At 35.6% G+C, this 25,482-nt stretch overlaps 1 protein-coding gene across 11 annotated transcripts in view; it reads left to right on the top strand.

The window, feature by feature from the left end:
* The window catches only part of PARD3 (par-3 family cell polarity regulator), a 705,736-nt gene that overhangs the window by 464,480 nt on the left and 215,774 nt on the right, over positions 1-25,482 (top strand). For 4 of the 11 annotated variants that reach the window (NM_001184790.2, NM_001184789.2, NM_001184788.2 and 1 more), the window contains 5 exons: positions 2,702-2,852; positions 9,001-9,190; positions 13,391-13,452; positions 14,574-14,618; positions 19,473-19,700. In NM_001184790.2, the coding sequence (NP_001171719.1) occupies positions 2,702-2,852; positions 9,001-9,190; positions 13,391-13,452; positions 14,574-14,618; positions 19,473-19,700 (676 nt within the window). Of the gene's footprint in view, positions 1-2,701; positions 2,862-9,000; positions 9,191-13,390; positions 13,543-14,573; positions 14,619-19,472; positions 19,701-25,482 lie in introns of all 11 variants that reach the window. The other 7 variants (NM_001184786.2, NM_001184785.2, NM_001184792.2 and 4 more) reach the window with 4 other exon arrangements.

Genomic DNA, 25,482 nt, shown 5'->3' with positions numbered 1-25,482 from the left:
ACTTTCCTTGGGATGGAACTGAGGGGCTAAACAGCCACTGCTACAGGGGACTGTATTTAGTTGGAGTCAAGAAAATTTTTGCACATTAAACCACAAATAGACAACAAAATGAAAATCGCAGTTGTGCTTACTTTGGTTTCTTCTTCTAATGAAGCTTAATTCTACCACCCCCCCTCCCCCCCCGCCAAGATGGAGTCTCTCTGTTAGCCAGGCTGGAGTGCAGTGGCGTGATCTCGGCTCACTGCAACCTCTGCCTCCTGGGTTCAAGCAATTCTCTGCCTCAGCCTCCCGAGTAGCTGGAATTACAGGTGCCCGCCACCACACCTGGCTAATTTTTGTATTTTTAGTATATTTGGTGTTTCACCATGTTGGTCTTGAACTCCTGACCTCATGATCCACCCGCCTCGGCCTTCCAAAGTGCTGGGATTACAGGCGTGAGCCACTGTGCCCAACCGAAGCTTAATTTTAATAAGGTTTTAATATAAGGAGCCTGCAAGGGGGTGATAGCAGGCCTGGGGGAGCAGAGGCCAGCCATTCTCCCAGGACCACTGGGGTTGCCTCTCTTCCTCAGTGCCGCTGGTGCCCCCTCTGACACATTTCTATTTCCTAAGCTGGTGTTCTTGCAACAACAAAAAATCATCAAAAGATTTAAAACAAAACTGTAACCCCAATCAGTTTTTTTAAAAGAAATTAAAAGCCATTGTATCTTCTGTTAAATATTTATGTAGTCAACTATTGATGTCTTCATTTAAATCTGTCTTTTGAGATGCAAATTAAATATGGGTAGAGAGGTAGGGGAGGTGGAGAATCTTTCCTATGAAAATGTTCAAGTGCTTGGTTTTTTTCTGAACAGACGTCTTACTGTTTTTCTCTAGAAAACCTGCATGTACTCCTTTTTAATGGAATTTTTATTTGGCTTTATAAAATTTTAAAATAGCCTTTTGGGATATTTAGGGATTTCTCAAGAAGAAGTTTTATAAAGGTTTTATCATGTAGAAAATTGCAGCATTATACAGTTCAATTAAATACATTTTTCAGGCAACCTTGAGGATATGTTGTCTGTCTTTTGATAAATTATTGTATAGTAAACAGAATTTGTTTATAGAGTCTTGTATAGCAAGTCTTTATGTAGGTATACTTTTTAGTGTGTGTGTTAATTTAAAAACCATACTTGTTCTTAATGGTATAGAGTATTCGTTTTATTAGCTTTTTTTTTTTTTTTTTTTTTTTTTTTTTACTTTCCCAGAGTCTCTTGGAATTTAGGCATTACATTCTTTTAGAAACTGTTCTTTTATTTCTTTACATCAGAGACCTTGAATATTTAATTTACTTTTCAGTAAAGCTGTCAGTTGTAATCTACAATTTTAAAAAAAACAAATGAAACAAATCCTCGTTTCACAATTTAAACCTTATTGAGTCTAATTCACTAGAGCTGCAAGTTTATTATTCTCCTGCAGTTTGATGTGCCTCCAATTGTAATTGTGTTGACCCTTCAATGCATTAAATCTCCCCAGTGCTTATCAAACTGGGAGAGATAAGTCTACAATTCGAAACTTCATTAAATATCTCATTTATATTAAACAGATGATAGCTTCTAACGGAAATAATAATTTGTTCAGCTGAAGGAAGTGCGACAGTTGTGGTTTCATGTGTGAGAGGAGCGCCTTCTCTCCCGCTGTGCTGTGTGATGCTGCCCTCCTGCCCACTCCCCCACATTGGCCCTTCCTGTCTGTCTAACATCAAAGCATCATGAGATACCAGTCCTTGTGGTGAACCTCACAGTCTGCGTTATGAGGATTGTAGTTAAATGTTCTTTCATTAAAACAGATTTGTTTGAAGGCCTTACTAACATGAATTTCTTACTCATATTATTTTTATGTAAAATATGACTTATTAGACACAGCTAGCTGTTTTAAGAAATGCCCGATACATTTTAATTTATTGTCATCGAAATTGACATACATTCATTGCTTATTTATTAGATTGTATATGTTTTTGAAATCCTCCTATCTTGGTGTGCTTTATTAGAATATTTGGTCCCGATTTTCATATTGTTCTGTACACTACTGAAGTGATTATTGCAGCTACTATCTTGTACTTAAACATTACAGTAAAGATAATACCATGATTATTCTTAATTTCTAGCAGGAGGAATTTAAAATCAGTGTGTTGTTCAAGACATCTGAGCTGATATCTTTAGGTCTTGTAGAGTAGGTAATAATTCCACCAGCACACATGGAAAAATGTGTGCTAATTGTTAGATGTATTTACATACCATAAGTTTAAGACCTATAGCTAAATTGCAGCTTCCATTCTGATCAAGCACGCCTTTTATAGAGTAACATCTAGTAAAGAATTCTGAATTACACTGTAACTTAAATTGACTTAAACAGACACTAACGGTCAAATTGGAAAAATAAACAACAAGCTCTGATTTTAAAAAAGCCTTAAATATACATATTTTTCCTCCAGCGGTTGAAATCTGACAGAACTTCATGGGAGGCATGGTATAAAGTGGCACAGAAAGTTGGTCATTAGGCAGAGCTGTCATCACAAATTATTTTGGTACAGGGTGAAAAGTTCTAGTTCATTTGGTACCCAGTTGGATACAGGCCTCGGGCAAGTTGTTATAATTCTCCCATGCTGCTAATTGGCCTCCAGGTACTGATTTTTCTTTGCCCCCATACCCGTTACTCTGTAGCTGAAGTCACCTGGGAGCCCCCCTGGACCTGAGCTGCCCATTGAAACAGCGTTGGATGATAGAGAACGAAGAATTTCCCATTCCCTCTACAGTGGGATTGAGGGGCTTGATGAATCGCCCAGCAGAAATGCTGCCCTCAGTAGGATAATGGGTGAGTCAGGTAAAACTCTGTTTATCACATCTTATTTTGATGCTTTCATTGGTTTACTGAGAGGTTATTGGTGTAATATTAATGTACTATTAGTGTAATATTAATGTAAATAAAAATATTAATGTTTTCAAGACAAAAGAGAACAGGTTTATTAAAATCATTCAGGAAGTGTTCATGTGAAGAGGTAAATCAATCCATTGATTTAAGTGACTTTTAGATCCTGTAACATGACGAAGCAACCAAAAAGAAAGGGATCATATGGAAATGTTTTCTAGTGATCAAGATATTCTTTACTTACTTGAGATAATATGTGAAGCTATGTTTAAAAAGAAATCAAAATTTAATGGCTTGTGGCAAAAAGGATTCAAAAGTTACATATCATTCACAGTGGCACTGCCTGGAGGGGGAGAAAAAATATTTATATACAGATATATGCACACATATATAAAATATTCACATGTATCTGGTTTGTATTTAATAGGATGTTACTGTATTTTAATTGTATTTTACTTTTCTGAAGCTTTAGTTTTAAAATCGCGAAACTAGTCTTCTGCATCCTTTGTTTGGATTCAGTACCATCCTATCTGCATGGCCCCCAGTGGGTAATGAGGTTATTAGCACTTGCTTTGCAGCAGTTCAGCTTTCTACTAACAGATCCAGTTCATAAATTCTTGCTTTGCCACAGGAGTGGTTGGATTTACTGAGCTGCTCATCTTGCGATTAGCTTGTGAGAGTTTTCAAATTTAAAACACAAGAAGCCATTTTGATTAAAATAACACCTGACATAAAACACTTTTATTACTGGTATATTTTGCAAGGCTCTCATTTAAAGTAAAACCCTAAATTTAACTCCATTTTGAGTACATTTAATGCAGATTTAATACAATTCAAGTTTCCATTATGGAGCCTCATTGAAACAGTAATTTATTCATCAGTGGGTGTTTATGGAAAGCATGCTATTGGCAAGACATTGTGTATATACTGTTGCTGTAGATACAAAGATGAGTAAGAAGCAATCTCTGCCTTCAAAGAACTTTCTACTGGGCATGATCAAAAACATACATAAACATGTCTAGTAGAATTGTCTGTTTTTCTTCCTCTAATCTCTCTAGCTTTCTAGTTTAGAAAAATTGCTGAATATGTAATTTCTTATCTTGTTACATGTGGAACTTAGACAAGCCAGCTTTCTGGTGTTACTTTGTCAACATTTTTCTTTTTACATGCTTGGCGTAAGTGAATGTCAGGGAAGAGTGCCACACCTGTTGGGTTGAACACCTGTCAGGTGAAAGGCTTTGTACATAGTTTATCACTTTCAAATCTTTGCTTATTACTTACCACTCTCTTCACTGCTGTTGGATTTTCTGTACTTTCTTGGCTTTGGTATAAATCTTTATCTTTGTTAAATTATTTTTTTGTTGATGAAATTTCAGTCCCCTTGAGAGAGAGAGAGTGTGCATGTGTCCCTAGATATTTGTGCACACAAAGTGATATGCTGTAATTTCCCCTTTATTATAGGAACATAGGACTTGCCATACTGAATCAGACCATTGGTCCACCAGTTCCTGTAACCTGCGTCCTGCCTCCAATCCCTGATGCTTCAGAGGAAGGCGAAAAACTAAAACTAAAACTCAAACCAAAAAAATCCCTAAATTCAGCTAGTGACCTTTTGAAATGCTGTATATATGAGTTGAAGAGTCATTCATTTTCTTCCTAGTCTGTTGCCCCGATTTTGTTAGCTACAGCTTCATTAGTCCTCTTCGGTTTGCATTATAGTTGACATTGTTTCCTCTTCCTTCTGCTAGATATGTACTGAACTCTTAAAACTCCAGATGCTTCCCCAGGGCAGTAACTTCTCTCCCAGTTCTGTGTTTTGTGATGTGTATGCCCTTTTACCACTTTGGGCTGGGGGTGACAAATGCGTTACTATTTAAGGGTAGGCTAAATTGATGTTTTTATGATTTGGATATTTTCTTAAGATAATTTTTACAATTTGTAACGGAAACTAGGGATTCTAAATAGTTTTACCCTGACAAGTATATATGCATATTTTGATTCATCTTGTGTTTTGCAAATTTGAAAATTCCTCACTTTTTGTCAGTCCTTATTCTAGTATCTTTGGCCGTAAGAATCAAATGCAATTTGTGAAATTAGTTACCACTTAAAGTTAGAAATCCTGTTCAAGACGTTACCTTGCAAGAGAATGCCCAAACAAGGCATTAGGAGAGGTATGGGGCAAAAAAATTAGGAAACTTGACAAATCACACCGTTTCTGAACCAAAATTCGGATTTATGTTTTTCTGAGTCATGAATTCCATAGTTCCAAAGACATTAGGACTTTGGATTTCCATTCGCCTAAACCAATAACAACAGTGTTTATTGATTTGCACAGTATCTAGGCGCATAGATATTCCTCAGACTGTTTGGTTAATGATTGTCTTCTATATGTTTGGAATCACTCCTTTGTAGACATTAGTGGAGGTTGAGGTATTTACTTCATGATCTGCTATGATACAAAAGGAACTTTGTATTGAAATTCTGGCTGATTACCTTAGGGAGTTATTAATTTTATGTTAACAGGTTGAATTTTCATATGGAGTAATCCCCTATGTAGGACTCTAGGCTAAACGGAGCTTTGAGGCTTTGTGATGCATTCCTATGTGAACACATCCCTGGCGAAAGGCTTTTAAAAGATACACCCCAAAAGGAAGAGCCTTTAGAGTTGAAAGGATGTCAGATGTCATCAGTCACACTTTCCCATTTAACAGATGAGGAACTAAGTCCTGATATCCCATGATGTTTTTTGTTTTACTTTGTTTTTGGCTATTTCCTTTTTCTAAAAATAGCCCTCTCTGGGGAATGCTGAGATCTTCATTCTTTATTAGTATCAATTTATAATTATCTACATCTGTAAGCAGTTATTCGAAAGTCTCCAGATCTTATTCTATCCTGGCACCCATGGTGACTAAAAAAATCAAAGACGTTAAATCTTTGAAAGCAGCCTTCAAACCACATACTCCAGCCAACTTACCTTATATGTCGGGGAGTTATGGAGCAAATACATTAATTAACTTGACAGAAGTTGCACACTTTCTGTACTTCTGAACCAAAATTTGGATGCATGTTTTTCTTTATCATGAGTCACACCTGATTAGGATTTCCTTAGCTTTTGTTGGGGTCAGACAGGATTGTGACCAAAGGCAAGATTTCTCTGTCATCTCTTTTGACAGAATTTCCACAATCATGGATTTTGTAATAGTCCTGGACATTCATCAGAAAGTAACCTGTAGTGGGGCTGCCTACATAGGATTCTTCCTTTGAAAAGCCTTAAACATTTTTCTAATGGTTGGTCTCTCTTAACTAACAATAAAAAACAGCAACAATGCAGCTGGGCACAGTGGCTTATGCCTGTAATCCCAGCACTTTGGGAGGCCCAGGCAGGTGGATCAACTGAGGTCAGGAGTTTAAGACCAGCCTGGCCAACATGTGAAACCCTGTCTCTACGAAAAATACAAAAATTAGCCGGATGTTGTGTTGCACACCCGTAGTCCCACCTACTGGGGAGGCTGAGGCAGGAGAATTGCTTAAACCCAGGAGGCAGAGCTTGCATTGAGCTGAAATCGTACCACAGCACTCCAGCCTGGGCAACAGAGTGAGACTCCATATCCAAAAAAAAAAAAAAAAAAACAAAAACAAACAAACAAACAAAAAAACCAGCAACAGGGATAGTCAGCATAACTAATTTAACCAGCACATCCATTTCGTAAAAGACATCACACATTGTCATTTGTAAGCCTGGGACTTTAACTATTTCTCAACTTTTTTAGCTGAATAATTTTTCTTTTTAAAACAAAACTGAAATCTGTTGTATCCATTTTAGAATTTATCTCAGTAGTTTGTATATTCATATATATGTGGTGAGTTTAAGAAGACGTATTTAGAACATTTTTATCTTGTTAGCAATTTGACATAGAAAAATGAAACATTAATGTTTTTATTGTGAGTCATGTCACTGGCACAGTTTTCCTCTAGTATCATGTGTGGTGTTACCTTCTATGTAAATTTGCCAATGAATAAATGTTTAGTAAACAAACATTTTGTATTTCATTGTTTCACTCCTCTACAAGATACTGACTAGTTTACTTAGTTTGTAGGTCACTAGTTAACTAGTTGAAGATAGAGGAAAGTTTACCTATCAGAAATAAATTGAAGCCTTCTCAAGTCATAGAAGGTTTCACATTTATGATGTACCAACTACTAGCAAACATAATTAAGGGATCATTGTATTGTCTAGGTGCAGCTTAGTAGAATATGTAAAGTTTTTTAGCTGTCCATTACCCTGGTATAATCTTGGAGCCATAACCCAAAACTATATTCCTGGCAAGCATGTTAAGAAGTGGAAAATATGGGTTTTCAAATCTTGTGGAAATACTAGCCTTTCAAATCATGGGTGAGAAAAAAATGCTAAATTATTTTCTTACTATGAGGAAGATTTCTTGCCATTTATCTATGTATACAATATTGTATCACAACAGTTAAGGTATAATATTTCTACTCAGAACAACAGATTACAAAAAAAATCATATGCCCCTTTCAGTGTTCATATTGCTTTGTTAGGCCATCTCTCAGAATATATTGTGTAAAACCAGAAGTTTTAGTTTTGTGTTTAAAAATGAATGCACTATGATTATACTGTAATATTTTCTTTTAATAAATTATGCCCGTGTGAGTATTTGGTATTTAATATTGTGACATGCCTCGTCAGTGGTGAGTTGTCCATTGGGGTGACTGGTTTTATAATTCTATATACTTTGAAGGAAAAAAGTATGTCTTGAGAAGGAAATATTTCTTGGCTAATAGTGCTAGAAAGTCCCACCTTATTGATGAATGACACTTTTGCTGAACAGGTTTCTATCCTAATATTCTAATACTGTATTAGAAATAAATGAGTAATTTGAATTCAGGTAAGGGAAATGGCTAAGTATTACATTTGATTTACATTTTTATCATTAGCATTTATATAAGCTGTTAATTTTCATAGTTTGTCAAAATGGGTGCATTTGAAATCAAAGAGAAAGTTTTTCTTGGTAACGTGCTGAGAAGGGGTTTCAGTGAACTTACAGTATTACTACAATAGTGTAGTTGATGTTAAATGAGGAATGCAGTTGAAATCCCCAGCAAGTTTACTTTTTGTGGGTTATCCTGAAAAGATGTAGCAATTTAAATAAATTTTTCTCCTTTGCTGAAATGTCTAGAACAATACAATACAGACTTTTAAAAATCCTTCACGCTTGTGTATGCCATCCCAACATCCTCAGTCATGGCCTGAAAAACCTCTGGCCACTCAGATCCTAATTTTTTGCATCAAGATCACTCCAGGTATCTCTCCTTTTCTAGGCTTTGTTTTTGGTAATACTCATCTTTTAAGTTTCACCTGACTGCATCATGGGCTTTTCTCCATCATGCATTTAATAATGATGTTGTTGCTATCTAAAATAAATATCATCATTTCTTCTGGCAGAAAAGATCATATTGACCATTTAAAACCTAATTCTGATGTTAACTTTTGCCAAGATTTCCAGCACTTCCTACCCCCAGTAACCCAGGCAATTACAACACAAGTGAATGGCTTTGGACTCATCTCTACACCACCATATAATTATCACTGCTTGTAATTCTTTCTCCTTCACTAGGGCATACGTCCTTTAAGGACAGAGACTGTGTCTTGCAGTACCTGCTCTGCAGCAGTTGCTCAATGAATGAATGAATAAACAATGCAAGTTAGTGGGGCTTCTTTGTAAATTTCCTGGTAATTTTTCAAAGGACATTCACAGTTTAGAATGCGTGTAGCATTTTCACATTATAAGACATTTGAGAGAGTATCTTTGGCTTTAGGAAACTTCAAACCAGAAAAATTGCATGCATTGCCCTGAGCTATATAGTTGTAGCGTCAGAGGTAGTAATAGACTCGAGGTCTCTGTTTGACAATCATTTATGAAAAATAAATGTGCTAAATTCTGTTTTGTTCTACCAGGTTGAGCAGATATGTGGAAAATTAGACTTTTACTAATATAGCAAAGTATTAAAATTAATAGATGTAACACTTTGATCGATGTCTAGAATTTTCTCTTCTTCTTTTTTCACTGGACAGGTAAATACCAGCTGTCCCCTACAGTGAATATGCCCCAAGATGACACTGTCATTATAGAAGATGACAGGTTGCCAGTGCTTCCTCCACATCTCTCTGACCAGTCCTCTTCCAGCTCCCATGATGATGTGGGGTTTGTGACGGCAGATGCTGGTACTTGGGCCAAGGCTGCAATCAGTGATTCAGCCGACTGGTAAGCTCATCGTCCAGGGTTGGAAAACATGAATTAATTACAGTCCCATTTTATGTTTAAGTGGCTTACTGCTAAATACAGTTAATCATTTTTTTAATAGCTCTGTCTTCATGGTTTTTATATACTTATCACTCTTATAATAAAAGATTATACCCGAACTCTGTAAATTTAATTGTTTTAGCCTTCAAGAGCTATAGTTAGTAATATAACCAAAACAATGACAAAACTACTACCAGTCAAAAAACCGTGCTCATTTGTTTTTCACTTTCACTTTATGATTTATTTCACATCTGTGTTAATTTGATGCATTGTTTTTTAATTAAATAAATTCTTGGTAACTCCCTAAATTGATGGCAACAATTAGATACTTTTGCAAAACTAAGAGTTGATGTGTTCTAAGAGTGGGAGGAGGCTTTTTTTAAAGTGTTTTTTTTTTTTTTTTTCAGAGTGCTATAACCATACTGTTTAAAATGCTTTGTAATTGCTTTTAACATAGTGACTTCTGGGGCACTCCCTGCTATTTTCTTTCCTGTGTCTTTCAAAATAGAAGAAAGCATTTGATACTACTGAGCCAATGTGTGGCTCATGAAGGTGGATGTGTGCCTTAATGTTTATGCCTAGTAATTATATACATCAATAAGCAAAAGCAGAGCTCCTCTTGGGGACGACCTCACAAGGTTGTAGTGATAATTAACACAAACCATGTGAAGTATTGTACCAGAATTTTCTCATTGCCCTTTCTCTGGGGTCTTTTATGAATATATCAGCAAAATCATATTTAAATGTTATGGTGTTGTTCCTTCACCACTTAGCCATTCCTGCTTCCTACTGTTTTTCTGGCTTGTGTCAACATTAAATATTAGATAGGAGGTGTCTGGGGGACTGGCATTTATTTGCGTTAACATTTTTAGTGATGATCTTAACAAAGTGAACCACTCCCCCAATCCTCTTCCCTGACTCTCCACATGAACACACAAAATACAGTTCATTTATCTGTTAATTATGAAGATGTTCTCTTGGAATAAATCACACCTCTTATTTGGGACCTTGAAAAGTTCATCTCTAGCTTTTCATTTCTTTCTTTTTAAATTCTCTTTTTGAAAGCACAGGATTTAAAAATAGAACTACCCTCAAACCTGTATGATAATGGCCCATCTTTGAATGAGGTTTTTGATTAAACATAGAAGGGAAGACTACAATATAAAGTAAAAACCCATTTGAAATCTGCAGATGGTGTTACATTGACTGCTGTGTCTCATATCTCTTTCTGAAAATGAAAGTAGCAACAACAGAGAAAGCAAGGATTAGATAGACGCAGTGTTCATCTTAGGGACAAAAGCCTTTAAATCTCTACCATGATGAGAAATTGTGGAGGTGGTCATAGTCTTTGGGGCATTATAAAGCAGTATATTAGTGAAAATAGATAAATAAGTAGAAGGGATAGATTGTGGCATTAATTTCCCTAAGGGGGATTTGCAAAATGGTGAGGACTTGGATAATTTTGCTGTGGGGAATGTGGGGCAAAGAAAATAATATGAATGAAGGGTTATCCAAACAAGAATGCCAGCTGTTCTGAATCACAGCAGAAAATGCAAGCTTTTCCAGCCTGACAATATCTTCCCTAATCCTTGATGAAAATGCTATGAAAACAAAAGGCCAATAAGACAGGATTAATAACTGGAATTTTAATAACATTAGGGGTCAGGATATGGTTACATTCTTTAAAGAATCAGCTGTCATTCCTGCCATCTAACTTGTTAAATATTCCAGTGTACCGTTTATTGTGTCTGAAATAAGTTTAGTGGGAATATTGATAGGGAAGAATTAATTTTGTCATAGTTTAAGAATATTTAGTTATTTAAGACTCTTACTAATGCACAAACTCATTTGACATTTTAAATTGTACATGTAGTTCACTGCACAGTTGTCGAAGGCCATGTCAAATGGCTAAACTTACTTGTTTACTTATAGAATATACTATTTTCAATCCATTAATCAATTGAGAGAACATTAATAATGTGTTTCTGGGGGAAAGGAAATAACAGCAAAATTCTAATCTTAATGGTAACATAATTTTAGAGGATATAAAATTAAAGGTGCACCAATATGTGGTTTTCAGGCGAGATTGGCAGTGACAATTTGTATTTCTTTGAAAAATCTTTTACCAACAATTTATTTCTACTAACACTGTATTTCAAATGCATTCTGTTTACAAGTTTGGTGCAGTATTGGAGTTGAGGTTTTTTTTGTTTTGTTTTTGTTTTTTTTTTGAGACGGAGTCTCGCTCTGTTGCCCAGGCTGGAGTGTAGTGGCGCGATCTTGGCTCACTGCAAGCTCCGCCTCCCAGGTTCACACCATTCTCCTGCCTCAGCCTCCCAAGTAGGGAGTTGAAGTTTTAAATTATTCTAGAAGAGGTAAAAAGAATTGGTTAGCATGTGCAGAGTGACTGAAGAGATCCACTGACAATATATAAAAGAATTATTGGAAATATATTATTTAGAGTTTGCTGTTGCAAGATTGTGTCATATTTCTTATCATATGGGTTTTGATTTTTTACTTTTAGAAGTGTGTTTTTTTCACTTGGGTGTATGTGCTCTCATCATATAAGCCATTTACACCTAAGCATAGTAGTATGTGAAGGGGCATCTGAGGGTAGATGTCTGTCATCATAATTTGTGTTTGATAATTTGAGATAGTCTTCATTGGGTGATGACTGACTTGTTTAGTAGTTAGCAATTTACATGGGGCTTTCACCTTAGGTTGCTGAATTCTCTTGTTAGCTTTTTAAGTGAATGAGACAACTGTTCTCTTTATTGAGCATATTTAATACATAATGAGCTCAAAACATTTCAAGTCACCCTACCCAGTGGCAGGGCTTTTGCCTGCTATCTTACTTTTCAAACTTTTACCATAGCTCTTTAAGAGCCAACTCTCATTTCATGCACAGTAAATCGCAACTAAATTTCTGATGTACATCCAAAGGTTGACTGTTTTTTTACTAGTATGGATGATAGTTCTTATAAGGCCATAAAGGGTTGGAAAAGCTTGCTTCCATCAGAAACATGAGGAAGACTATCATAAATTCAGCTGACAGTGGAAGGAGCCCTGGGCATTTTTAGTGTGCTCAGTTAGCTGTAGAGGGATGTTCTCTCACCTGGCCAGATAGGCAAGGTGGCCGGACCTGATATAGTAGAGCTAGTATACTTACTTACCCAATGTGCCCAGCACAGAGAAAACCCTTTTCATATTATGAACTGTGGCTAGAACACCTTATAGCACTTTAGAATGTGTTCACAGATTTTTACAAACAGGAGTGATTCTGGGACATCTTCAACCACTTGCGTTGGAGGAACACTTCAGAAGGCATCCTGTTACCAGGGATTTGCCATATGCTTCCTTATCATGCCCGCTTGAGCCACTGTGTTGGTGTCACCCAAATCAAATGTCATCTAAACTTAGTCATTTTCTTCCTGATTCTCATATACTGTTTATTCACTCATCTATGCATCCTCAGCATCTGTTTCAGACTTCTGGTTTAGTATTTTTCTTATGAGCTCATAGAGTACAGGGAATCTTTCTTATCTGTTATTTGGATCTACGTACCTGGCACAATGCCTTAATCAGAATAGGTTCTAATAAATGTTTGTTGAATTGATTTCTTTGTTTTAATATTTCAGAGAAACTGCAGCCTTATGAAATGGCATGCCATAATGGCATTTTTTTTCTTTCCTTAAAACACAACATAAAAGATACATAAGAAGGCTAGAATGTACTCTTTTTGAAACTTCTATTTAGTTACAATTTATATGGTCACTTGTTCGCTGCTAGTGTTTGTATATAATATATGACAGGTTTCCTGAAAAATTCAGTTGTTCTAATATCAGGCTCATTTTTTATGATCATCTTGAAATAATTCTGTATTGTCAAATAGAGTGAAGAAACAGAGAGGAAAGTAGAGAAGGAGAAAATTCACATGGAGAAAGAGTTACTCTAAAAGTTAAATTAATTTTGTATTTTTCTATCACTTTCTATACAGCCACAGTTTTTTTTTTAATGGACTGTATTTGTATTATTTAGTTGAATTTTTCTTGAGGAATATACATATGTATATTTACACTTGCAGGTATGTATGAACCTCCCTAAAATGGATGCGTGCTATTTTTAGTAAATATTTTTATTTTTATTTTTTCTTCACTCCAGCTCTTTGAGTCCAGATGTTGATCCAGTTCTTGCTTTTCAACGAGAAGGATTTGGACGTCAGAGTATGTCAGAAAAACGCACAAAGCAATTTTCAGATGCCAGTCAATTGGATTTCGTTAAAACACGAAAATCAAAAAGCATGGATTTAGGTAGTGAGTACAATCTCCATGAATCTTTATCTAAATAAGTTTTAAATGCTTTCAGGATAAAATTGATGGTCCCAAGCAGATGTCTGTTTACTTTGAGCAATAGAGAAAATAAATGTGAAATGTGGCAATTTGGCAAAAATTAGTTTTTCTCCCAGTTTGAGATAACGATATTACTCATAAGTGGCATGTTTACATAATATGCAATATGTTAATATATATGTTTTCTTAAGAGAATGGAAACAAACACATATGCATATCATGCTATGTCCATGTATCTTTATTTTACAAAATGAAATGTTTTAACACTTTGGCTATTTAAAACCAATTTCATTGAAATTGTATTTGGTTGGTTGTGGGATTTTTGAACTAGAAGAGAAAATTTTGGAGAGAAACCATTATCTCAATCCATGTCTAGAATTTGGTTACTTCATGATGTCTTCCTTTCATTGCTGTTCTTTAAGGTTTATTTATTGGAAGCTTTCATATTTTGATAATTAAGGCATTTAATCAAAGTAATAATTTGAGAGTATTTATTATAGAAAGTATTTAGGAGCAAATGAGAGGAGGAAAATAATCATAGTTGTTCAAACACCAATCAGGTAGTGTCTCTTTAAATCCAAATCCACCAAAAAAAAAGTAAAATAATTAATTATATTTATACACTGAATGATTTAAAACCTTTGTTAATCAACTGTAACTTATGCTGTTCTCTGGTGGCTGTTTGTATTCCAAGACTAAAAGCATTAATTTATCATACGCATAAAGAAAAATTTGGTGATGCATTGCCTTGGCTAATTATGATATGCTAACATATAACACACATGTCTGTGAAATGAAATGACTGGCATATTGCATGGAGACACTGCTTTTTTTTCCTCCTTTTTTGATTATGAATGTTTGCTTGATGTTTCATAGTATTTGCATGAAATATTAGCTGAGGATCGTCACCTAACTAAAAAGATCTGGGAATGGTGGAAGCATGGTGGGCTATGGGAACTAACTGGGCTAACTATTATACATTTACCTTTTAACAGTAGCTGACGAGACTAAACTCAATACAGTGGATGACCAGAAAGCAGGTAAGAATGGACAGTTAGACTGTTGCCATAGAAACGATGGCCCACATAGCTTATCACAATTATAGAGCTGCCAATCATATGCCATGTAAACATACATATTCCAGTCTTACGCAGATGTTTTCATTGTGAGAAATTGAATTACATAAGAAAAGAAATATTTTCTGTTAGTAGAAATTTATCAGTGGTGTACTTACTAAATAGTAATATGATTTACTGCTTCAAAAAGGCTAGAAACAACCTAGATTTTCTTAATTATATTCATGTAAGGATGTTTTATCCCAATTTTTAAAAAATCAAAATCCTGCAAACGTGATCTGTTATGGTAGAGTCCTAGGTTTTTAAGTCAGCTATGTGATGTCTAGGTTAACATCCAAAAAGTGATTCTCAGAGTGGTGATTTTGATTTGAAAGATAATAGTGCCAATATAAATGTTTTTCATTGTAGGACAACGTCCGGTATTGCTATCATTAGTCATTCAGAAAGGCATATTCTTTTTTTGATGCTGGAATTAGCTTATAATTAACCTGACGTTGGATTAGACTATATAATGCATATGGCTTCATATCTTAACTTTGTGAGCTTGTTCTAAATTCGTTACTTCTAAAATACTGCCAAATCATTCCATAGAAACAATGGATTATATTGAACTGGGATTGCATTATAGTCATCGATTTTGCTTTTTATGTTATTGTATGACAGTAATCACAGGAAGGTCTTTTAAGTGTAGTTAACGTGCTTTGTATAATTGACCATTTATGACTTATTATAAGTTTGGAATAGTGTTTTAATCTGTATCCAGTATGATGTAGTTACACTACTTAGCACTAATTAGCTTCAATTTGCCTTTTTAACTTGCAGTAGTAAATTAGTTTTAGCTGCTTAAAAAATGTGTATCCCACATATATATATGTAAAAATTATTGTAAACATGGTTGGAGTTATATTCTTTGGAGTATAAGATAGATTGTAAAAACGACATCTAATAAATCATAAGATTAACTGTATTGCACGGCAGTTAACCGTAGCCTTATCCCTTACTGAGTTGTTTGTTGTTCTTATGAAACCTAAAGTTTATTGAAGCAGAGCTAAAGAGAAATGTTATGTGATAGTTCACATATGTAAAATAGTAGTTAGTTTTTACAGTTAGCAGTATAAGCAATAACCCCGATCCAAGTAAACAGTCATAAAAACCAAATTGAGCTGCTCAGGTAAAGGACCTGACTTCATATACAATGTCAGTTAGGTAAAATAAGAAAAATACTTAATTTAACCAACTCACAGCTACTATAAGGAAAAGGACAGTTTATTGTGATCTACAACATAATGATATCCAAGTTATAACTCAGTGCGTTAGATAACTTTCATGGAAAGTCATTACATAAGTTTCAAGGCAGATTTTATAGTCTAATCAAAAATCAAACTGTGCTAGATTCTAGAGAAAAAGAACTTTTTTTTTTTTTTTTGCACTTTGTGCAGTCTATTCTACCAAATTAAATTAGAAAATATTGGGGCAAAAAATTATTACAAAGATGTCAAAATACTTGGTCTGTTGATTTTACATCTAAATGAATAAAATACCTAAAGTAGATATTTTATTATTTCCCTGTCCCCTAATATTAGACAGTGAAAAGATTTTCACTTATTTTTCTTTCGTCACTTCACTTGACTTGAGTTTTCAAGAAAGATTATGATTTTATAGATTAGTCCAAAGGTTTTTGGGAGAATCATAGTGGCATTTTAGCATTGAACATCTGTCTAGCCTAGCCATAAGCCTTTCATAATGAAAATTGAATTACATTTCCCTCTGCCCCTTGCAAAAGACATCCTTTCCTTTCTTTTTTTTTTTTTTTTTTGGCAAGAGGGATATTACTAAGTAGGAATAGGAAACAGATCTAGGAAAATAGTATGATTATGATTTCCCTCTTTTTTTTTCCATATTTAGGAATCTTGTATCATATTTTGGGGATAAATATTTCTCCTCAAATTATAACAAGGGAGAACAGGTATAAGAAGAGAATTGGATTTCTAATGGTTTCATTCTTGAAGTATAGAGATTAGCAAAGTATGCTAATGACCTAAAAGATATGTGTAAAGTAAGAGCTTAAAATATTGTTTTAAAATTAAGACAAAAGATACTAACTTTTATGATGTAAATAAAATCTTTTCCATATATTTTATGTACAAAAAGACTTTTTCAATTTTCATTACTAGTAAAATGCTGTTTGTATTGTTAGGGAATCCTTTTAATTTTTTTTCTAAAGACATTTGACTGAATCAATGTGTTAGGGATTTTAATAACTTCGCTGAGAAATCCTAACATATCATTCAAAACCTTTGTTATAGTTTCTTGGTCAAATATAGTACTAAAGTGTATGTTACTCATATTATAAATCGAATGTTAGCAAGCTTTTTCTGTAAAGGAACAGATGGTAAATATTTTAGATCTCTGTTGCAACTTTTACATTCTACCATTGTTGAATGAAAGTAGTCATAGACAATATGTAAATACATGGGCATGGCTGTGTTCCAGTAAAATTTTCCACATTTGACTCACAGTTTGCTGATCTGTGTTACAGGTTCAGAAGTTGTAGATAATTGACATTTTGTATAATTTTTTATTGTAAAAGTTTTCATCTATACATAAATATACAGAGAGTAGTTCATTGACCTTCCACAAACCCAGGGCCCACCATCCACAATGGTCAACAGTTTGCCAAAAGGTTATTTCAGAGTGTTATGAATTTAGGGAAACAAATAGGTAGGTATGCTCTGAATTGCACTTACAAAATTATCGTTTATCGAATTATACTTTGACCATTGTTTTTCTTTCCAAGTTTGCCTGTGTTTATGCTTAGGGACACTCAATTTCAATGAATACTCATGCCATTTCTGAAATTTATTATTTAAGTTTTTATTGCTGTCAGTACACTAAGTAAAATCTCAGCTAACTTTACACAAAGAAAAGCTTTATATAAATGGTGTTTTTATGAGAATTTTTTCTGGAAGCATGAAATCTTTATTCATGATATATACTCACATACAAATACATACACACATACACATATCCTTAATAAACTCAAGAAAGCACCAAATATTTGCCCAATACATGTGTATGGAAGCCAAATATAGCTGGTAAATTATGAAAGTTGATAGACATTTATTCACAAAAGGATCTTTCCAGTGCTAATTCTAGGAACTATAAAGGTAAATATCCCTGCCCAGGAATGATCTTTTCCCATTCTTTTTTATTCCTTCATTTCTTATTATGTAGGTTTTTGGAACAAAATTCATTTTTCTTCCCATGACATGACTTTTATGAGTAATTTAGAAAATGCAGTTGTCAAAAATTGTAGTGCTGCCCAGAGAAAAAGTAAGATGGATCTCATTCAAAGAAATAAATCTCATGAACTTTTGTCATAAAATAAAGAAATATAGACAAACCTGCACTGAGAAAGCTAAATATGACATCTTTTTCTTTCCAGCACAACAATTTGTGGAATATTATTTCTTCATTAGAATCATGTGTTTGCCTTCCTGTTTGTACTACATTTTAAACATATCTATTCTTACCCAAAATAGCTTCATTTAACATCAGTGAATCTTAAAAAATTAAATTTTGTTTTGAGTCTTTCAGTGTAATTTTAATTCTATTTTATTTTCTGAGCTGTGAAAAGCCTATGTCACAACTATTTGTCTTCTGGGTAATAACATGATCAACATATGGGCTGATGACCCCATGCAGAGATAAACTATTTTGTTTCTCCTACCCTCTATTTTTTTCACCTGTCTTTTTAACTGTATATATGAAGAACCAGTTCTATAACCTGGATTGCCCAGGTGGTGGTGCAGAGCTGGTATTTCAGTCATCCGGAAGCTAAATTAGTCTACCTTTGAGTATCAGGTCAGGCAGTGATGGATGAGGCTGTCTTACCTGGTTAAAGAAATCAGTTTTGATTGCCTTCCACAACTTGGTACTATTGGTATTATCTTGGGTCCTTCTGCCCTAGATCCTCAGGAAATAGAGCCAAATTTTTAATTCCCGGAATTTGTCCCTGTCATCCTCATGAAATGTTCTGGTTAATTGCTAAGTCGTCTTTCTTCTGTCCATCACCTGTTTTTCAAACATATTGTTCCCAGGCCTAGAGATAGAAGTACTCATATCCAGTCTCTCCTTTTTTATTTCCCTCTGAGAGAGAGCCCTTATGTAATCTGTTTCCGTTCAAAGCTTGTGTTACTCTTCCTATAGAATATCCATATTTCCCAGGGTTGGGTTTCTGCCTGCTGCCAGGTTGCCCTAACTGTTTTGGTGACATGTTGGCCCCCGTGGTCTTACTCCTTATGCAGTGTTGTGGGTCTGCAGTTTAGCAAGGAAGAGACTTGACAATGCACATTGATGTGCATGTCTAGCTTCTGTTCTAAAGAATTTTAAATTGCCAAAAAAAAAAAGGTTTTAATTAAGTGCAAAGCTTATTCTTGGTTGTTGACCTTAGCCTTCTCCTCATCTTCCCTTGCTTTTCAAATGAGCTTCCAGGTTATTCTGGTTCTTTTAGATTATTCCTATTACCGGAGCAAAACGATTTGACAACAATTTCATCTGTTGAAATTTTTTTTAAAAAGTAATGACTTAGAGTTTTTCCTAATGCAAAGAGAGAAAATAGACCAAATCTAATATAAGTTTGGGAAAAATAAAAATTAGCAACTATTACTTCATTTATTCTTTGTCTTTTCCATCTGCATTCCAGAACTCATCATTGAGCAAATAATTGTTATGTACCTGAAGTTTTCGACAGTGCATATTCAGGTACATAATTTTCACTAATTCACACTAACATTTTTTTTCTTGTAAACCTCCCAGGTTCTCCCAGCAGAGATGTGGGTCCTTCCCTGGGTCTGAAGAAGTCAAGCTCGTTGGAGAGTCTGCAGACCGCAGTTGCCGAGGTGACTTTGAATGGGGATATTCCTTTCCATCGTCCACGGCCGCGGATAATCAGAGGCAGGGGATGCAATGAGAGCTTCAGAGCTGCCATCGACAAATCTTATGATAAACCCGCGGTAGATGATGATGATGAAGGCATGGAGACCTGTAAGTTTATAATGGCTGAAAGAATAATAATTAAAATTAGACTCTATTTCTTAAAGTGAGCTCCAGGGAGCCCTGGAGTTTTCTAAGATTCTTCAGGGTAATCTCTGAGATCTCTGAGGTCTAATAATCTCTTATTTCATAATAAGACGATATTATTTGCCCTTTACTCACATTCTCTTATAAGTATACACTGGGGTTTTTTGGAGGCCACATGTCCTGTGATACTGCATTAGATTGAATGCAGAAGCAGATATGAGAATCTGTCTTACAGGCCAATATTAAACTAAAAATTCTGAAAAAATATTTAACAGTGCCATTGTTCTCACTTCTTTTGGAATATATATATTTTTTGGTAAAAAATGTAATTTCTGTTAACACGAAGTTGCTTGTTTTTAAAAAGTAATATTTTAAAACTTTCCCAGTTTTAATTCAGTACATGTTGCTAGATATAATCCACATATAAAAAAGTTATTTGGAGTGCTTAATAATTTTCAGGGGTGTGAAGTCATCCTGAGATCAAAATATTTGAAAACCACTACTTTGTAGTGTCTCAAATAGGATGTCTCCATTGAGTACCTGTAATAATCTGTGATCTTAAAAACATTTTTTTTTTCTTTTTTTGCTTTCAGGAATTACTCATTCTTTCCTATAACTAAACTAGCAAGCTATATTTATGTGTGTTTATTTTGAAATTGCAAAATATTTAAAGCCAAGATTATTAAAAGTCAAAGGTTAATATGAATGTTTTCCATGGTTTATTGAATAAAAAATAATTTATAGATAGGTACAAATATATCCTTCCAGAGAGTTAAACATTTCTTATATTAAAGTAAACATTCTATTAAAAAGTAATGGAAAAACTCTACCGATATATTTACTAAGAAGCAAAAGGGCTTAGGAGTCCTAATAGTGAAAATTGTTGATTATCTTATATTGCTCATAACTACTAATTTACCTTTTAGTGTTTTAACCTCAAATGTGACTCAACCATCAAACTATTGTACGAATAGTTGGAGGGACCACAGAATAAAACTAAGGCAGAGACCAGAGATAATTTGTGTAGATTGTAAATTACTTGCAATTCAACATTTGAGTGGACCACTTCTATCACATATACCTAAGAAAGACTTTCGTGGGAAGAAGAGTTTTAAGTAATAAAGATCACATTTTGAGAATATATACATATACATATAATGTATATGTATATATACGTTAATATACATTGCTTATACGTATAATGCTTATACATATAATGCGTTTGGGAAGATGAATATTTCTGTCATAATGTAATATGCGAAGCATAACTTAGAGGATTGCTACACTTCTCTCCACCTCCACCTGATTCTCCATCTAAATCCAGGCAGTTTTGTCACTATGATCAGATTCCTCACAACTGGGCCTTTCCAGGCCCAGTTTTTCCCTTTTGGCGGCCTCTCCAGGCCCAGAACTTCCTTAGGTCAGCCTCTCCAGACCCAGTTGCAGCCTCCTGGTGTCCTCTCCAGGCCCACCTCTTCCTCCCGGCTGTGAATATATGCAGCCCATTCTTGCAGGATGAGGAGCATATTTACTATTTTTGCTGCCAAACCTGGTCTCCAAGATCCTGAGTCATATAAGCTTTCGACCCTATTGAGTTTTTTCTCTTTGTAATAATGGTTCCTTGCCATCCTAATCAATATTACTTGACAATTATAGAGCTTGCTTCTCTCTGTCTTGGGTGTATATTTAATCAAAAATTACTATGCTTTGGCCCCTTGATATATATTTTTTAAGTATCTATAATGATGCTTTTGAACTTTTTTCTTGTTCTGGTTAAAATGTTATTTAATTTTCCTTAAAAAATGCAGTTTGCTCTTATAATATTTCACTCATTTCAAATGTAACAGGAGATAGAATACATATGAATATAAGGTATATTTTTAATTCTGTAGGGATAGCCTCCAGAGTGTCCCACCAACATGGACATCTGATTTTGTCCCTATATAAACTTATTTTTTAAAAAACAAAATGAGAAATAACAGTATATTAAAGTTCATTCATGTATCTGTCCTTCAGAGAAAAAAAGTGAAATGAAACACATGGATAGGCAAATTACAATTTGCAAACCAAAGATAAAGTTCTGGACAAGACCTGGGAAATACACGTGTGGCAGGTGCCCTAAAACACGCTGCACCTACAACCACCAAATGTTGTATTTTTCAAAAGTCCTGTTTTTATTATTTTTTGCATACCAGTCTTCTGAACTTTGCATATGGCAAATGAATGGCAACTATTGTAAATTCCAAACTTTTCCAATTTTGGTTGTTGAAATCGTGTTTATAGGGTGGAATGAACACAGAAGTGGAATTCAGGTGACTTGCATCCTCCTCTACATTCTTCTAAGTAATTTGGGATTTTAGTCAAAACTTCAACTGCTTGAGCTTTAATTTCTTCATTTGTAAAACTGAAGATTTGGACTAGATAATTGACTTTCAACTGGTGTGTTGTGATCTCTGGTCAGGAGCAGTACCTCAATGGGTTTGGAGAGTGGGAAAGGCCACCAGTGTCACCTTCCCCCCACCACCACCTTCACAGTTGTTTTACTCACTTCTGTACATGGGGATCCTTTGTAAATTTTAGTTTTTAAAAAGGGTGTTTTTGAGTATTTAGGAAAAAGTTGTAAAAGTTCTGGCTTAGATGGTTTAGATGGTTTCCGAAGTCCTTCCTAGTTTAACATTCCATGATTCTATGTACCCCCTCACTGCCCTACTTCTGGCACGCTAACCCCCTCACCTTTTGCGAGGCCCATGTGGAAAACACCCCATCTATTTCCATCTTGCATTACCAAACACAAAGCTTGGCAAATCATAGAATTAAATAAATGTCTGCCAAATCGATGAGTGGGTGAGTGAGGTATCCCACACTGGACCTTGTATGCACTAGATCTTCAATACTTCAGCAAACTCTTTGTTTTTGTTTAAAAAAAAATTGTCTATCAAATGTGGTGTTACTGCTGGTGGCTGTCAGCTTACATAAAACTGAAGACGCGAAGGCACTTTCTGCCTCCAGCTTTGGAAAGAAGGCTGGCTCAGTTAGCCCTCCTTCGGCTTCCTAACCACACCATTTTCAGCGTCTGGCTTGTGGACCTGCACAGCGGAGTCTCTGGACTTGCTGTCTCTGTGGCTATGCTCCTGCATTTTTGCCCTTCTGGGCTTGTCCCTTAGCTATGTGTCCCCTGGCTGCATGTCCAACATCTTCTATTGTCTGTGCTAAGTGGGCCTCAGGGGAAGTGGGTTCTTTCTTGTCCCGATGGTCCAACTCAGTTACAGCTGCCCGTAGAAATTAAAAAGCCACATCCCCCTTGAACCTGGATCTGAAAAGAGGACCCTCGTCTAGGCAGATGGTCTTTTTGTCACATGGGACATTTCCTGAGGATGCAGTGCACCCTGGAAATGCGTGGCTAGAGACTGAGCCATTGTGGAAAAGCTAGTTATGGAGGTCAGCAGGAACAGAGAGCTCCTTGCACCGTGCTGCAGGCTCTGATTTCTATCATCATGTGGCACTTTTCCTCTTTACAAGTAAGACACATAGGCGTAGGCATGGTTGATTGCTTTTGTCAGTTGGGTCGAGCCCCTCCCCAGTGACTATATTCATGGCACTGAACAGGCTGGCCTCTTCTCAGCAGTGTGGAAATCATGGCATGGGCACAGCAATGGGGCCAAGAGACTGGGGTGGGATCCATGTGGTATCTGGTATCTGTCATCTTCTGCAGCACTTACATTCTTCCTGTGGAGATGGCAGAAGCCAGCATTTTTGTGTCTCATTTAATCCATCTGGCCTCTCCATGTTGTGTGCGTCTGTCTGGATCAAGATGGAGCTTTGTATTCTGGGACCCATTATCTCCGAGGCCCTACCTGTGTTTGACAGGTCAGGGCATTGACAATCTGCTCCCTCTTCTATGCAAATTACATGCCCAGCCTGGCTCTCAGCAAGCGACTTCTCCTCCCCATGATAAATCAGTTTCTATTGCTACCAAGAAAATGCATGCAGTAAGATTGCTTTGTTTTCTTTTAAAAAATACATTAATTCTACTTTTTCGTAATTAAAAGTTGCCAGAAATTGTAAGCCCTGCACTCAGTTTTGTAACAGCTTTTTGTTAAGGTTGAGGAAGTGAAACAGCAAAACTAAATATCTCCTATTAATTATACCTATTGATTTTAAGATATATCAAGTTCAGAATTTTAAATGTGACAAACTTTGTGCCTTGCAAACATGAAGGCATTGTCTTCAAACATGAAGTAGGTAGCTTGCATAATTTCCTATAGAGCTCTTATTAAGAGATAGGAGAAAAGCACTGCTCCAGAATACACATAATTTAGGTTTTCAGTATGAAATTTGAAGAAACTGAATTTACATTATTAAATCAACTAATATGAGAGCTTCTAGGGGAATTTTGTTATTGTTTTATTAGCTATGAAATAACATATTGCCTTTGATATCTCATTTTCTACTCTCAGTATTCTACCCACTTCTAGCCACCTTTCATCACCACCTATTTCAGCAAAAATAATGCAAACTAAGTATAATTTTATCATAAGCAAAACACAGTGGATTACAGTAAATCTATTGTGGAAGAATTTGGGATCAGATTTCAAAGTCAGAGTACTTTGTAAACTGTTTCCTATTTGGTTAATCCATTTTAGTGGATAATTGGATGTTGATCTATAAAAATACTTGTTCTGAAATGCTAAGAAGAAGAATAACCTATCACATCATTTTATGCAAATAAAATGATACATATACTTAACCTGCAGTTTAAGAAAGGGAGCTTCGATTAATTTTTAGGAGGTTTCTGATCATAGTATGGGTGTATGGTTGTGAAATAACCAAAGGTATTCTCTGCATTTCTTTTTCTAGGTAAAATGTAACTTAGCAGAAAGTGCAATGAATATTGACATCTGAAGTGTTTTGAATGATAGAATCCTCATTTCTAACTTTTTTTTTTTTTTTTTTTTAGAAAGAGTGTCACTCTGTAGCCCAGGCTGGAGTGCAGTGGCACAATCTTGGCTCATTGCAACCTCCAACTCCCAGGTCCTGGTTCACGCAATTCTCCTACCTCAGCCTCCCAAGTAACTGGAATTACAGGAATGTGCCACCATGCCCAAGTGATTTTTGTATTTTTAGTAGAGACGGGGTTTCACCATGTTGGCCAGGCTGGTCTTGAACTCCTGACCTCGTGATCTGCCCACCTTGGCCTCCCAAAGTGCTGGGATTACAGGAGTGAGCCACCGCACCAGGCCCCATTTTTTAAGAGGAAATAGTATCTATATATTTGACTAAGATTACACTTAGGAACTGAATCTTAGAATGCGTATCTTCTAATTCTCAGTCCTGTGGTTTTTCTAGAATATGAAACACACTTCCAAACAGAAAGCCCATTGCGCTAAAACTACTGCAGAGTGTGTACCTAAAGTCTGATATTTAGGCTATTAGTTCCTAAGGGCTCGGGGTTGGGGGATGATTCAACCCAGTGGATAAATGAGCACTTGATAAGGAGTGTGGTTCAGTTCCATTGTAGTGTGTAAGTTAGTGTGACACTGGGGAGGGGGTGGTGGTGTAGGGGTGCCCAGCTGATGTGGAATTAGGGAGGAGAGGAAAGTAGAGGAGGAGATTTCCAGAAGAGAGGTATTGGCCGAGTTGAGTGTTACTGCTTGAGAGTCTTCAACTGGATGCACAGAGAAATATGGAACATAGGGAATGGGGAGCCATCTCTGGGCTGCAGTAGTTCTGTTAGGTTGGTGTGTAT

This window comes from Homo sapiens, chromosome 10, assembly GCF_000001405.40.
Source record: "Homo sapiens chromosome 10, GRCh38.p14 Primary Assembly".
Classification (NCBI taxonomy): domain Eukaryota; kingdom Metazoa; phylum Chordata; class Mammalia; order Primates; family Hominidae; genus Homo; species Homo sapiens.
The sequence above is the reverse complement of the archived record's forward strand: the minus strand, read 5'-3'. Positions and strand labels throughout refer to the sequence as shown.